Below are 14,045 nucleotides of genomic sequence, written 5' to 3'. Positions count from 1 at the left end.
ACTATCCCCACTTCACAAAAGCAAAGACTGAGGCTCAGAGACATGAATTACTTGACCAAGGTCACACAGCCAACACTGAGCCTGTATTTGAAACCAGATCTACCCGGCTGTGCATATTTTGACTACTGTGCTGCACAGCCTATTCCTTCCCAAGGGAGAACACCCCAGAATGGGGCAAAGGCCAAGGAATTCAAGCTCCAGTTTTTACCCCCACTCCCTGAAAGGTGTAATAGAGCAGAGCTTCTCCAAGTACCCATGCAGAGGAGCCCTCCATCTGCTGCCATGCAGAGCAACAGACACCCTCCACCAATTACCCATGCAGAGGAGCCCTCTGCTGCCATGCAGAGCAGTAAATACCCTCCACCCACTGACCAGAGGCCCCCATGGAAAAGCACAGTGCAGAATAGCCTGAGGGTACACACCAGCAGGGTGTGCATGCTCACGCAACTGTTTGTATATGTAAAACAATTTCTGGAAAGATCCACAGAAACTGCTAATGGTGGTTTCCTCTGAAGAAGTGAGTTGGAGGACAAAGGTCAGGGAGTGGAAGGAGACATACATCTCACACCATTCCCTGTTTGTACTTCTGTTTTAGATTTGTAGGTACACATACTGTTAGGCACCTTTAACAGCTTCCCAGGATCACCCAGTCCCCAGCCCTGAAAAGGGCAGAGCCAGGCTCGGGGAATTGTCCCCACTCTGCCTCATGGTCATGGCATTTCCCTGTGCCAGGACACATTCCCAGCCTCAGGCCCAGGGGGCAGGACAGCCTAGTGGACTCCAGGCTGTGGAGTCTCATGGATCAATGACTACCAGCTCTGTGATCCTGACAGAGTTACTTAACCTCTCTGAACTCAAATTCCTCAAATATACAATGGGAATGATAATACCTACCTCAGAGGATTGTTATGAAGATTAAAAGAGGCCGGGCAAGGTGGCCGATGCCTGTAATCCCTGCACTTTGGGAGGCTGAGGCAGGAGGATCATTTGAGGCCAGGAGTTCAAGACCAGCCTGGGCCACATGGCAAAACCCCATCTTCACAAAAAATACAAAATAATTAGCCTGGCGTGGTGGTGCATGCCTGTAATCCCAGCTACTCAGAAGGCTGAGGTGGGAGAATGGCTTGAGCCCAGGAGCTTGAGGCTGCAGTGAGCCGAGATCACTGCATTCCAACCTGGGTGACACAGTGAGACACTGTCACAAAAAGAAAAAATTTTAAAGATAGCACTTGATAAGCAGAGGGTCTGCCTGACAGGATAAGAAATACTTTTTATTTATATTATTTAATTTATTGATGTTAATATTGATAATATTATTGCCCCACCACCATTAACCACCAGCCCAGTCTTCCCGGGAGGCATTCGCGCTGACTACACTGTGAGAGGCTAGGATAATAGTGCCCCCTGGTGGACATCTTTTGGACTGCATCTGATGAGTACCTACCATCTAGTACCACTAGAGAAAGAACAGGAGTCAAAATTCAGTTCCATTTCTTCCTTTTTACCCCTAAATATTAGGTTGGTGCAAAAGTAATTTCAAAAAACTAATATCTCACATGTACTTCATTAGATACTCTTACATAACAGTAAAATAATCAAAACCAGAAAATTGAACATCGGTTGAATAGTATTATCTAATCCACACGGTCCATCCTGACATTCTGCTAGGTGTCCCTATGGTATCCTTTATAGCTAATTGTTTCATGGTCCAGGACCCCTCCAGGGTCACACATGGCATTTGATTACCACATCTCTTTAGTATCCTTTAATCCTGAACCATTTCTCAGCTTTTCTGTATCTTTCATCACCTTGACATTGTTGGAGTTCAAGCCAGTTATTTTGCAAAATGTCCCTCAATACGGATGTGTCTGTCTGTTCCCCTTGGCTGGATTCATGTCCCGTGTTTTCGTTAGGAATTTCCCAGGTGTTGCACTGGGTCCTTCCCATTGCATCATATCGGGAGACATGGTGTCAATTTGTTCCAGCAATGGTGATGTTAACCCTAGCTCCCCCGTCTGTCAGCTTGGGGAAGCTAAGCTCCCAGGGCCAGAGAGGAGCTGAGACTGGCCTACAGTCACAGGAAAGTCAGGATCCTCAGCTCAGGGTCTTCACGAATGCTTAGGATAAATGCAGCCAGGCAAGAAATTGATCACCGGCACCTAGGCCTCCTCCAGATCCTAACTCCATAGGAGCTTAAGGGCTGGGTAAAGCAGTGTTGGCCTTCATCGCATCGTCATGTAAGTCTAGCTGCTTGGAGTCCCCCTTTCTGCTTTGTCCATTTCTATTTTTCATTAAGACTTTTTCATTCCACAAATGATATGCAAATGCATTATCCTTGTCTTATATATATTTCAGCCAAGGCTGAAGTCTCCTTTGAAAGTTCCCCTTCTCAGTCTTTCCTCCCCTAGTATCAGTTTGATATGAGACGTCTATCTACAACCCCAGGAAAAATACAAACTGTAGTGTTCTCTTTCCATGATGGTCACATTGTATAAGTCTGTCATAGAAATTTCCCTGGCAGGGCTTGGAGACTGAGCTCATTACTTTCAACTGAATCATCATTACAGTGAATGGATACACTGGAGGTTACCTAGCTGAGACCCTGTGGATGGACATCTAGGTTGTTCCCAGCGTTTTCCTATTGTGAAACACACTGCCCTACACGCATGATCCAGGCTTCTCCAAGGTAACTCCCCACCTCTAGAAGCCCAAACCACTCCTGGGGCACCAGATTTACTGGGTGGACATCCCCGTGGGGGGTGAGGAGGGGCTGATGGGCTGCTACTCATTCAGCCTATTAGAACTGCAGGACTTTTAGGACCTCTGGAAGCAACTGGGCTGGGTTTTCACAATGTGTTTTGAGAAATCTTAGGGTTCCAAGATAGCCTGAGAGACAGGGAGGAGGTGAGCTGGGAAGAGTCCAGAGCTTCACTCCCACTCCAACCACAGAGCACCCCCACCTTTACCTGGTTTTCAATTAAGTGATTCTTTCAAAACAGAATCTCAGCTGTATGTAAATTCAAAAATCCCTGTTGCAGGCTGACCCCTCAGTTGGCACAGTCACCTTTCTGCACCATGCCTCTGGATCTGCTCTTGTCCATGCAGCCTCCAGCTGTGTTCTTGCTGGTGAGGGCCACCTGACCCAAACCAAGCTCCCAGCTGACGAACTGCAAAGAGGGCTCTGCAGGTGCTGCCCTTGTGCCATCAGAGGTGGCACTGTGGTATTTCACTTTGAACATACTGGGTCCTGGGAAGCAGGACTGCCCAGCTGTGTCCCCAGCATGCCCCTCCTCTGTCCCTCAGAAGCTGTGCACATTTCTGGGTACCGTCTCTGACAAACATGGTGGCCTGATTCAGTGTTCCCAAACTTCCCTGAACACCAAGGAGTCTGTTAAAGTACACAGTGCTGGGTCCCACCCCAGAGGTTCTGAGTGAGCAGATTTTGGGGGAGCCCAGGAATGTATATTGTTTAAAGCTTCCCAAGGGGATTCTGAAGGAGCATGTCTGATCACCTGCATTGCAGACACTGGCCTGGGCCCCTACCTGTGAACTCTCCTTCTCCAGGCAAATCTCGAGTCTGGCCCTCAATTAGGCTGTGAGGGCTTCAGTCATTTGTTTTACCCTAAGTTTTCCTGGACAGTGGGGCTCTCCGTATTAATTAGAACCCATAGGAACCATGGATCTGAGTCAGAGTTTCCCACTCTGAGCCAGAGTTACACTGGGCTGCCTCAGTGTACTGGAGGGCTCCTTATAAATTCCTCAGTGTACTGGAGGGCTCCTTAAAGATGTTGGGCCCCACCCCACATCTGCTGGAGCTGAATCTCTGGAAGTAGACCTGGGAATCTGCATGTTTTAGGCAAGTTCTTCAAGTGAGGCCATGGAGTCCAACTCCCTCCATGCGTCTAAAAGGTGAGGGAAATGGGATAAAACAGTAAAAGTGGCTTGCCCCCAGCTACAATATACATTAGTAGCAGAAATTGTTCCAGCCCCCAAGTCTCCTCTCGGTCCAGTGCCCGACACCCAGGGCTTCTGAGCAATCCAGCTTGTCTGAGGGCTTCTATCACCTGAGATGCCCCCTGTGGCTGCCCTAGGATAGGCCTCTGCTGTATCTGGGAAATCTTCCATTTATAACCCAGTGAAAATGATCTGCGTTGACCAAGTCACCATGTGTATAGGTGTGTGCATACATGTGGGCACGTGTGCATGCCTGAGGTGGCAGGGACAAGCGGGCTTTGGCCGTGCATGCAAACACCCCTACTCCACCCTTCCCTGCGGGCCTTGCAAAAAGGTCAGACAGGACCAAGGTGTACAAACAGAACCCCACTTTATTAGCAGTTAGTTCGAGATTGTACATTAATGGAGGAAGGTCTCACCTTTAACACAACCCAAAACGGCTGGTTCGAGAGCCCTCATCAGGCGAACTGGATAGCACCCCCTCTCCCCACTCTCCCCACCCCCCTACAAGGGAAGGAAACCTCTGCCTGCTTCCCCAGTGTGCCCCCCACCCTCTCCAGTCGGCCCTCTCCTCTCCCAGGAAATGACATGAATTTCATGCACAAATTACAAAAGGAGCCCTCTTGCTAATAATAAAAGCTAACACAGTCATAGAAAACCCTCTCCTCCCTCATTCTCCTCCAGGGCCGGAAACAGTAAGAGCAGGAGGGATGAACTTCTTAGGATAAAACGCATCCAGTTTCCCCCAGGTTCCTGGCATTGACCCCACAAAACCCTATGCCAGTCCCTTAGGGAAGCTGAAAACTCGCCAGCCGTCTGAGCTGGCAAGGGCAGCCAGCCCACAGCTGTCAAGCCAGGAACCCAGTGTTGCCTCAACGGCCTGGGCAGCAGGGGGTCTAGGCCGCCCCCTCATCCTCACATCAACTAGAGCAGAGGCTGCCTCCTTTGATGTGTGAAAATCCCTGCTGTGGCCCCTATCTGCTCATTCTACAGATGAAGAAACTGAGGGCCTGGGAGGAAGATGGTCAGGCAGCTACTAAATGCACCCGGCTGGGATGAAACTTCACAGCTCCTGCTGCCAGCCAGGGCTCTTCTCACACCACAGCTTGCGGGAGGCAGTTCCCCATGTAGGCTTTTCCCTGCTGCAACTGAGAGCCTGGCTCTGCTCCAGTGCACACAGACCACGGGTCTCCAGGAAATGAAAACCCTGGGACCCCAAAATAGAAAGAGAGAGACATATGATGTGTTTGGTGCCCTGTGGCCCATCCCCAGGGTCGAAGGCCCAGCCTTCAGGCATGCAGCCTCCTCCTTCCAGAGCCCTGTGTCCTTCCTTCCAAGGCCCAGATATTACGGCCTTCTCCAGGGAGACTTTCCGGCCCCCCCAGAGCTCTTGCTCTAACTGGCCCCTCTGCTGTTTTGGCACTTGGTACAGGTGACAGTGGAGGCGCATCTTAGGCAGAAGTGAAGCTGTCAAGTCAGCACAAAAGGCAAAATCTCATGTAGCCTAAATTATCCTTGAAAGTACAGGGGATAGAAGAAGTGGTTATGCGACACCATGAGCAAACAATCTGACAAATTCAGAATGTGGGGCTTCAAAAAGACAGCAGGCCTAGGGCCTCAAAAACAATGTCATTTAAAAACTCAAAGTGAGCTGAGGGAAGACCTTTCAGCATTCAAAGAGGTTTTAAAAACATAGTTAGAAAATGCAATGTGTGCACCGTGACTGGATGCTGATTCCAAAACCAGACACATAAGTTACCTGGGAGACAATTGGGGGGATTTGAATACAGATTAGATAGCAGACATCGCTGGGAAATGACTTCTCGTCTTGGCTGTGATACTGGGCCAATGTGTAGGACAATGCCCTAACTCTTAGGAGATGCAGGCTGAAGCTTTCAGGGATCAAGTTTCATGATGTTTGCAATGTACTTTTAAATTAGGACAGAGAAAACATATACATACACAGAGAGAGAAAAAGAATGTGGCAAAATGTTAATAATTTTAGATCTAGATGCTGGGGAGTGGGCATTCATAATTAAATGTTTGGTAAAACATTGTTGTATTTGCTTTTCCCACTAACAAGCCCATGGGCACAGCTCTGTGCTGGGACCACCAACCTCTGCAGGTCAGCGCAGCAGCTCTCCTCTGCTGGGAACAGATGGCTTCCTTAGCTGGGCCCAGAAGCACTGACTGCTCATCAGGGGGGCTCAGAAAAGGCCCATTTTTAAACTTCAGACTCATCCTCCAAGCAGCAGGATGCTCCACCACAGAAGGCTCTGGAACTCTGAATGACTGAGGCAGCTGCAGGTGACACTCGCACCTGCACCCACCCTGGGGCAAAGGCTCATGGAGGGGACCACAGAATAGACGATGGAGCCACCTGAACAATTTCAGTTATTTCTCTCTCCTTTTTTTGGCCAAATGCTTAGAGTGAATTAGTGGACATTGAAGACTGGCCTCGCTGGCCCACTCATCTGTGGCTTCTCTTCTCGGGAGGGGGTGTCCTTGTACCCATTAGCTAACAGCCCCCCAGGCAGCTTATCTGCCTCTCCTTCTACCCCCCATACCTGCAAGTCCCGGCAGTGTCTGGACCTAGTGGGTCTTCAAGAAAGGTCTGTTAGTGGGAGGAGAAGTGGCAGCAGTGACCTAGGCAGACAGACTTGGAACATGTGGCAGGTCCAGTCTCCAGGCTTGCAGAAGGGTCCAGGCAAAAATCCAGAAGATCTCTGCTGTCACAGGATTTCCAACCGCCTGCTCCTTCCCATAGCCAGAGGCAGAGAGAAGTGGAGCTCCTGCCCTAGGCCAGCCCACCTCTCCTGCCTTCCATGCTCTGCGAGAGAGGCCTCCAGGCCTAGAGGGTAGATTTCCGAACCTGGGAGCTGTAAGATCCTCACCCATCCCGCAGCCCAGTCCCCTCACTGACGGATGGGACTCTGGAAGTCACTGCCCCTCTCTATAAGCCCCTGGCTCCATGGCGTGGGCATGTCTTCATGAGCACACAAGCAGACATGCCACCCTGTCCTCAGACCCTTTGCTGCTCATCCTGCTGGCCCAACGATGCCCAAGTTCCCAGGCTTGCAGGCCCCATTGAGAGGCATGATGGGGACACTGCTGTGTACACAGTGAAACCACCTGCAGCTGGTCCCACTGAGTGTCCAACTTTCTTCATCCCAGCAGAGAACTGGAGAAAAGGGAATCAGCTCAGAACAGACCCAGGCCCCCACAGGCTGGGGAAGGACCCCTCGAGGGAGAACACGACAGGGATGCAAACGCAGACCTCGGAATGAGAAGGCTCAAAGGCACCCTGGCTGGGAAGGAGTGGTTTGTCCCCATATCCTGGAATGACCATGCTGTGACGGAGGAAGGGACAGGAACCTGGCACAGAGTAGGGTCCCAAGGATGGGCTCAGAGGCAGTGTGGCATTGGAAGAGGAGCACGATGGGACTTGGAACCGGGAGCCTCGGGTTCAACGCTCAGCCCTGCTCCCAGCTGGCTCCATGACGTCGGCCAAGCAGGCCACCTCCCCTTTCTGGACCTGTTTCATACCCGTCAAAGGACCTTCCAGCCCCAAGATGCTAGAGTCTTCTGAACAAGACAAGCCTCTCCAGAAAGTATTTCCTGGGGTTCAGAGGGAAGCAGAATTTGGCAGTTGGAGGGGGCCAGGGAGAGGCACCCCAGCCTCAGTCACTTCACATTGTTAAATGGGGTGGGGTAGGAGCAGACCCCAACCAGAAATCAGCCCAGAGATCCCACTGTCTACAAGGGCCTGGAGACAGTTCTGTGGGCCTTGGTGGGCATCCCAGCTCTCAGGGCAGCTCCCAGCCTAGCACCATGTGAGGGAGAGTGGGTGGGGCAGCTTTTGACCCCAGCTCTCCTAGCCCAGCCCTGGCTGTTTCCTTTGGCCAAAATCCCCTCAGGGTCACTGGACTTCACGCAGCCCGATGTCCTGGAGAGAGCTGGTCTTCCCTGCGCATCTCACCACCTCTGTTCACCTGGGGTAGCCCCAGAGCAGCCACGGCACTGGGGAGGGCCCCTTCCTAAGGTCTGCTCAGCCCCAGGCCACTGAGGACACAGCCTCCCTCCCTGCCACCTCATCTCTAGCTCTAAGACAGGGTGACCCCTGAGACTGGGGCTTACCACCATTTTGTAGGACTGAATTAAAAACGAACCCAACCAAAAAAAATAGAATATATATATATACACATTATATATATATATATATATATATAACACAGTGCGACCCCAGCACCCAGGGTATAAACTCTGGCACCAAGAAAAAAAAAAACAAAATATTAAAATATTTTAGCTTCTTAGTATTTGGGAGGTTAAGGGGGTCTCTGAGAGCCCTCGGCCACAGGTGGCTAAGCAAAGCCGTGGCTGGCAGTCTCACCAGCTCGCCCATGTCTGCCTGGGCCTGAGGCTGGGAGGGTGTGGGGACCGTGTCTGTACATGGGAACATGTTACTGGCAGACCCCTGGCCTGCCTCAGTCTTTTACCACAGGAAACACCACACATCATATCCCAGGGGGAAGAAAGGGGTGCAGGTGGGGCCCGGAGAACTGGGCCCGATGGCAAGGCAGTGCCCCAAGGCCCTGCGGGAAGCCTTGAGGATGGAGTGGATACTGTAGGAACCAGAAATTCTTCCCCAGAACGGGAGGGTGAGATGTGAAGGTAGGAACCAGATGTGGAGGCTGGGAGTCCTCTTGAGGGGGCCACCCTCCCATCCAGCCTAGGACTGACTCCGGGGACCCAGCTGGCCCCTTGGAAGAGCCTGGCTCGAAACAGGGAAATGTCCAGTCTGTCTCCCCCGGCCAGGCTCTCCTCCCCTACAGCCTGGAGGACAGGGACATATGGCAGCGAATACTGAGGGGCGCCCTGCGGAAGCAGGGAGTGATGGGTGACGAGAGGGGACAGTCGGCGGAACACAGTGAGGGACAGAAAAGAGTCTCGTGGACTCCCTCCTACCAGGAAGCGGCCTCCCCAGGAGCAGCTGGGAACGGAATGGACCTCTGCTGGCGAGGGAGGTCCCTTAGGCCGCAGACCCAGCGGTGGGTGCTCCGAGGTGCTTGCAGATCCGCCTGGGTGCTCCCCCAGCCCCACCAGACCTCCACAGAGTATTGCTCATAAGTGCGCAGCTGCCCTGGTCCAGCTTCCCACTCTGCAGGTCTGGCTCAGCGTGTGGTGGGATGTCCCAGCTTTCACAAACGTTCAGTCTGGCTGTGGTGGCCACGGCTACCTGGTGTTCTGGAGGTCCTCTCGTAGCCAAGTGGGAAGTGTCTGGCCCATCTTATACAGCAGCTTGGAGAGCTCGATGTTGTGGTCCCGGTAATAGTCCTTCAGGAAGGCTCGGGACTGTAACGGGAAGGAAAGCTCAGACCTTGTGTACTGACTTAAGAGTGACCTCCTCTAAAAATCGCCATGCTCGGCCGGGCACGGTGGCTCATGCCTGTAATCCCAGCACTTTGGGAGGCCGAGGCATGTGGATCACCTGAGGTCAGGAGTTCAAGACCAGCCTGGCCAACATGGGAAAACCCTACTAAAAATACAAAAATTAGCGGGGTGAGGTGGTGGGCGCCAGTAATCCCAGCTACTCGGGAGTCTGAGGCAAGAGAATCTTTTGAACCCGGAAAGCGGAGGTTGCAGTGAGCCAAGATCACGCGATTGCACTCCAGCCTGGGTGACAAAAGCGAAACTCCGTCTCAAAAGAAAACAAAAAAACAAAAAACCCACCATGCTGCTGGCACCACCCCCCATACACCTCTTATTTATCCACAATCTCCTTCTAAATGGTAGCCTCCAATAGTGAACTCCCAGTTGGCAGGAGCATCAAAATATAGCTCACTAAGTCAAAATTCTTCTGATAGGGAGAGGAGAGAGAATTAATAATCAAAACCCAAGGCGGGCAGGGCCAGGGCCAGGCACGGTGGTTCACACCTATAATACCAGCACTATGGCAGGCTGAGGCGGGAAGATCGATTGAGCCCAGGGGGTCGAGGCTACTGTGAGCCATGATCATGCCACTGCACTCCAGCCTAGGCAACAGAACGAGACCCTGTCTCAAAAACAAAACAAAACAAAACAAAACAAAAACAGAAGCAAGTAGGAAAAGGAGGAAGTAACAAGACCCCCAGTCTGTGACCCTTTTTCTATATATTTTTAAAATTTCTTTTTTCCCCCTATGGTTTTACACATGCTGTTCTTACCTACCCTCCCATTCCATATGTCCAAATCCTACAAAATGGATCTCATCCTTCTAGGCGCAACTCCAGAGACCCCCATCCCTCCTTTAAGGAGCCTTTTTTACCCCTCTCAGGTTCAAGTGACATCCCCTTGTTCTGAATTCCCATAGCACTTGTGTGCCCTCTCTGACTGCGCGCAGCACTCTCTGCCTGTATTCTACTTAGTGGTGTTGGGACTCATACCCCTCCAAGACCAGGAGTTCCTTGAAGGCAGAGAACATGTCTGGCTCATCCTCAAAACCCCACAGCACTCAGCCCTTAGTAGAAGGTAACCAACACTTGTTTGACGAAATCAGGTCTGACCCACCATGTCCCAGCCCCCATTTTCCTCCTCTTACAAATACTGTCCAAGAAATGCTAAGGCCATGAACATGCTGAGTGCATGGTAAAGGAAAGAGAATCCCCCTCAACTCCATACAGGGACCCCTTACCCTTATGCAGGTGCTACAGGTAGTGTGTCCACCACTTACATCCAAGTCCATCTCGGGATATTTCCGGCCCTTGCTTTTGCCCAGACACTTGGTTTTTCCTCCTTCAAGCAGTTGGCACCAAAATCCTTTCTTTGGATCAAACCTGTGGAGGTGGGAAAGTCTTTGGATGGGAGCTGGCTCAGCCACCCACTTCCGACCTTAAAGCCATGTTCATGGACCCCAGGAATGGCAGAGACCAGGGAATCTACTGCTCTTGAACCCACATGGACTGTCAGAAGCTATGTGCCATCTGTGGGATCAAATGTGTCCTAGGCTGCACTAAACGTGCCTGTCCTACTTCCGGCAAAGGGCAGCTCGCACATTCTGAGTCTTCTCTCCTCCAGCCCGACCAGCCACAGCCGCTTCAGCAATCTACAACATGAACAGTTTCCCATCCTTCAGTGTTCTGGGAAATCTTTTCTGAGCATTCTCAATGCTGAGTAACTCTTTTTTTTTTTTAAACCCAAGAAGCCTTCTTTACCCCTCCCAGCGTCAATGGGAAGAGGGGTGTTTAGTGGAGGTTCTTTTGCTTTTTAATAAATTTCATCTTTATCAAAACATGCAGTATCCACAGCTGCACTTAAGCATGCCTGTCACTGGAGAATTTCATTTTTTGGAGTAAACTTCAGAAATGACACAGCAAGACTGCCAACATCATCCTGTCTTCAAAGGCATTTTTGGGATATGAGATCCGAAGCTGTTATGGGAAGGGAGGAATACTGACATCAGAATTTAGCCCTGGATGAGGAACTATGAGGAGATTCTTGAGCATGAGGGCATCAAGAAAACAGAATTCCCATGAATAGCGAAGGAGAACAGAGATTTCTGAAAGGGTCATAGGATAGGTATAGACGATGACGATGATGATGGTGATGATGATGATGACAAGGACAATAGCAGCTACCGTTTATTTAGCACTTAGTGCATGCCAAGCTCTCAGCTAAGAGCCCCACATGAAGCTTTCATTCAATTCAGTGGCCTTCAGGACGCAGGGATTATTATCTTTATCCCCAACTTACAGATGAGGAAAGCGAGGCTTGAAAGGCTGAAGAGATGGATGTGGGGCCCTAACCCAGGCATCTCTGACACCATGGCCCACAGCCTCAGCAGGTGGCCCCTTCTCCCTCAAGGTGAAGGACTGACTTCCCTTCTCCACCTTCAACTCCCACGACAGTGAAGACGGAATATTCTTGTTGCAAAACTTTCCCAAGAATGGAGCCAAGGAGGGTGACTTGATTCCTCCTTCTCTTGGGGTCCCCTCATCCAGCTGAGTGTGTCACTTATCTGTGACATAGCACAGGAAAGCAGCCTTTCCTAGCCCTGAGCCCATGCAATGCGGGCAGGCCTTTACTCATAGTGGGAGGGCATTCTCAACGCACTTGCACCAGGTTCTGAGTGAGTACGGTTATTAACTGTCAACAACATTTGTGTTTCCTTTTCCTGAAATCGTAAGTCAAAATCTAATGCTGGCTGGGGGCGGTGCCTCATGCCTGTAATCCCAGAACTTTGGGACGCTGAAGCAGGCAGATCATTCGAGACCAGGCTGAGCAACATGGTGAAACCCCTTCTCTACAAAACATACAAAAATTAGCCAGGCATGGTGGCACATGTCTGCGGTCCCAAGCTACTCGGGAAGCTGAGGTGGGAGGATCACTTGAGCCTGGGAGGTTGAGGTTGCAGTGAGCCAAAATCACACCACTGCACTCCAGCCTGGGCAACAGAGTGACCCTGTCTAAAAAAAAAAAAAAAAGCTAATGCTAAGAAAATCTTGTGGGAATTAGGGCTGCTCATTACTGATCTAATTTACTTACATAAAACACTCTGAAAATGTTCAGCCCAGACCAAAGAGAAGACCCCAGGATGGTCTGACCAGAGTAGAACAGATTCATCATCTCCCTTTTTTTTAAGGTGATACCTTTATTAATATGACTTAAGTCATATTAATAACTTTCCATACTTTCTGACTCTAACTAACTTCTCTCTCTCATAATTATTCAAGACTTTGGCTTTGTTGGCCCAGGTGCCTTATCAGGGAAATAACCTGCAGAAAGGAAAAGGCAACACTCACGCCAAGGTTTTGTGGTAGTCAATGGTGTTGGTCACCCCAAGGAACTTCTGCACCATGTCCATCACTTTGGCAGGTTCTGTGCGAAGCAGTTTGCCATCCAAGACCAGAATCTGGAAAGGGAGAAAGGGGATCGGGACCTGCTTTGACTTCGGTGGCAAACAAGGGCAACAGCCACGGCAGCAGGAATGGGCCTGCTTATAAATATGGGACCCTGCACCCTCTAGAACTGGCTCCTCCTCCCCTGTTGAAGGGCAGGTATCCCCAAGCTCAGGCCTCTGTGGTCTCACGCCTGCTTTCCACCAGCTTCTGCTGCCCAATGCCATTTCTCCTAGAATTTAAGCTCTCACCAAACCCTGCCTGCCCCTCAGGTCCCTACAAACATCCCTCTCTGGCCTCTCTCTGAGCTTCCAGTCCATGTCACTCTCCTGCTCAAACACTCCGCAAGTTTGCCTAAAAGGCCTGGTATGGCTGGGCATGGCCGGGCACGGTGGCTCACACCTGTAATCTCAGCACTTTGGGATGCTGGGGTGGGCAGAGGACTTGAGGTCAGGAGTTCAAGACCAGCCTGGCCAACATGGTGAAATCCCGTCTCTACTAAAAATACAAAAATTATCTGGGCGTGGTGGTGCATGCCTGTAATTCCAGCTACTTGGGAGGCTGAGGTGGAAGAAACGCTTGAACCCGGGAGGCAGAGGTTGCAGTGAGCCAAGATCGTGCCACTGCACTCCAGCCTGGGAGACAGAGCGAGACTCCGTCTCTAAATAAATAAATAAATACATAAACAGCCTGGTATGATCAGGCTCTCCCTCCATCACCACGCCCAGTCTCCTTGCTCCCACCTGCCTGCCTCAGGGCTTTCTGGGTCCCTTTAGGGCTACAGGGCCTGTGGTGATGGGACACAGGCTTGGGGAGTTCTCATGTATCAACCTTGGGATAAACAGGTCTACAGTCTTTTTAGGCCAGGTGCAGTGGCTCATGCCTGTAATCCCAGCACTTTGGAAGACCAAGGGAGGACTGCTTGAGCCCAGGAGTTTGAGACCAGCCTGGGCAACATAGTAAGACCTTATTTCTTAAAAAAATAAAATTAGCTGGGTACAGTGGCTCACACCTGTAGTCCCAGCTACTCAGGAGGCAGAGGTGGAAGGATTGCGTGAGCTCGGGACATCGAGGCTATAGTGAGCTGAGATCACACCACTGCACTCCAGCCTGGGCAACAGAGTGAGACCCTGTCTCAAAATAATAATAATAATAATAAAATCTTTTTATAGACCCAAGGGTCTAGCTCTCCAAGGAGGGCATATCTGTCCCCACGGC

The 14,045-nt window shown here is 50.8% G+C and overlaps 1 protein-coding gene across 2 annotated transcripts in view, besides 1 other annotated feature; it reads right to left on the bottom strand.

The window, feature by feature from the left end:
• Nucleotides 4,308–14,045, bottom strand: part of NDST1 (N-deacetylase and N-sulfotransferase 1) — a 60,433-nt gene continuing 50,695 nt past the window's right edge. For both annotated transcript variants that reach the window (NM_001301063.2, NM_001543.5), the window contains 3 exons: nt 12,732–12,841; nt 10,664–10,766; nt 4,308–9,306 (listed from right to left, as the gene is read on the bottom strand). In NM_001301063.2, the coding sequence (NP_001287992.1) occupies nt 9,187–9,306; nt 10,664–10,766; nt 12,732–12,841 (333 nt within the window). In that variant the 3' untranslated portion in view covers nt 4,308–9,186. The remainder of the gene's footprint in view (nt 9,307–10,663; nt 10,767–12,731; nt 12,842–14,045) is intronic.
• Nucleotides 5,242–5,411: an enhancer, noted in NCBI's record as "active region_23421". NCBI's record gives its function as "activates an Ori minimal core promoter by ATAC-STARR-seq in GM12878 lymphoblastoid cells {active_cell/tissue: GM12878}" and the evidence as "EXISTENCE:reporter gene assay evidence [ECO:0000049][PMID:35858748]".

Source organism: Homo sapiens, chromosome 5, assembly GCF_000001405.40.
Source record: "Homo sapiens chromosome 5, GRCh38.p14 Primary Assembly".
Taxonomy (NCBI): Eukaryota; Metazoa; Chordata; class Mammalia; order Primates; family Hominidae; genus Homo; species Homo sapiens.
Note: the sequence above shows the minus strand (reverse complement) of the source record. Positions and strands in the feature narration are given on the sequence as shown.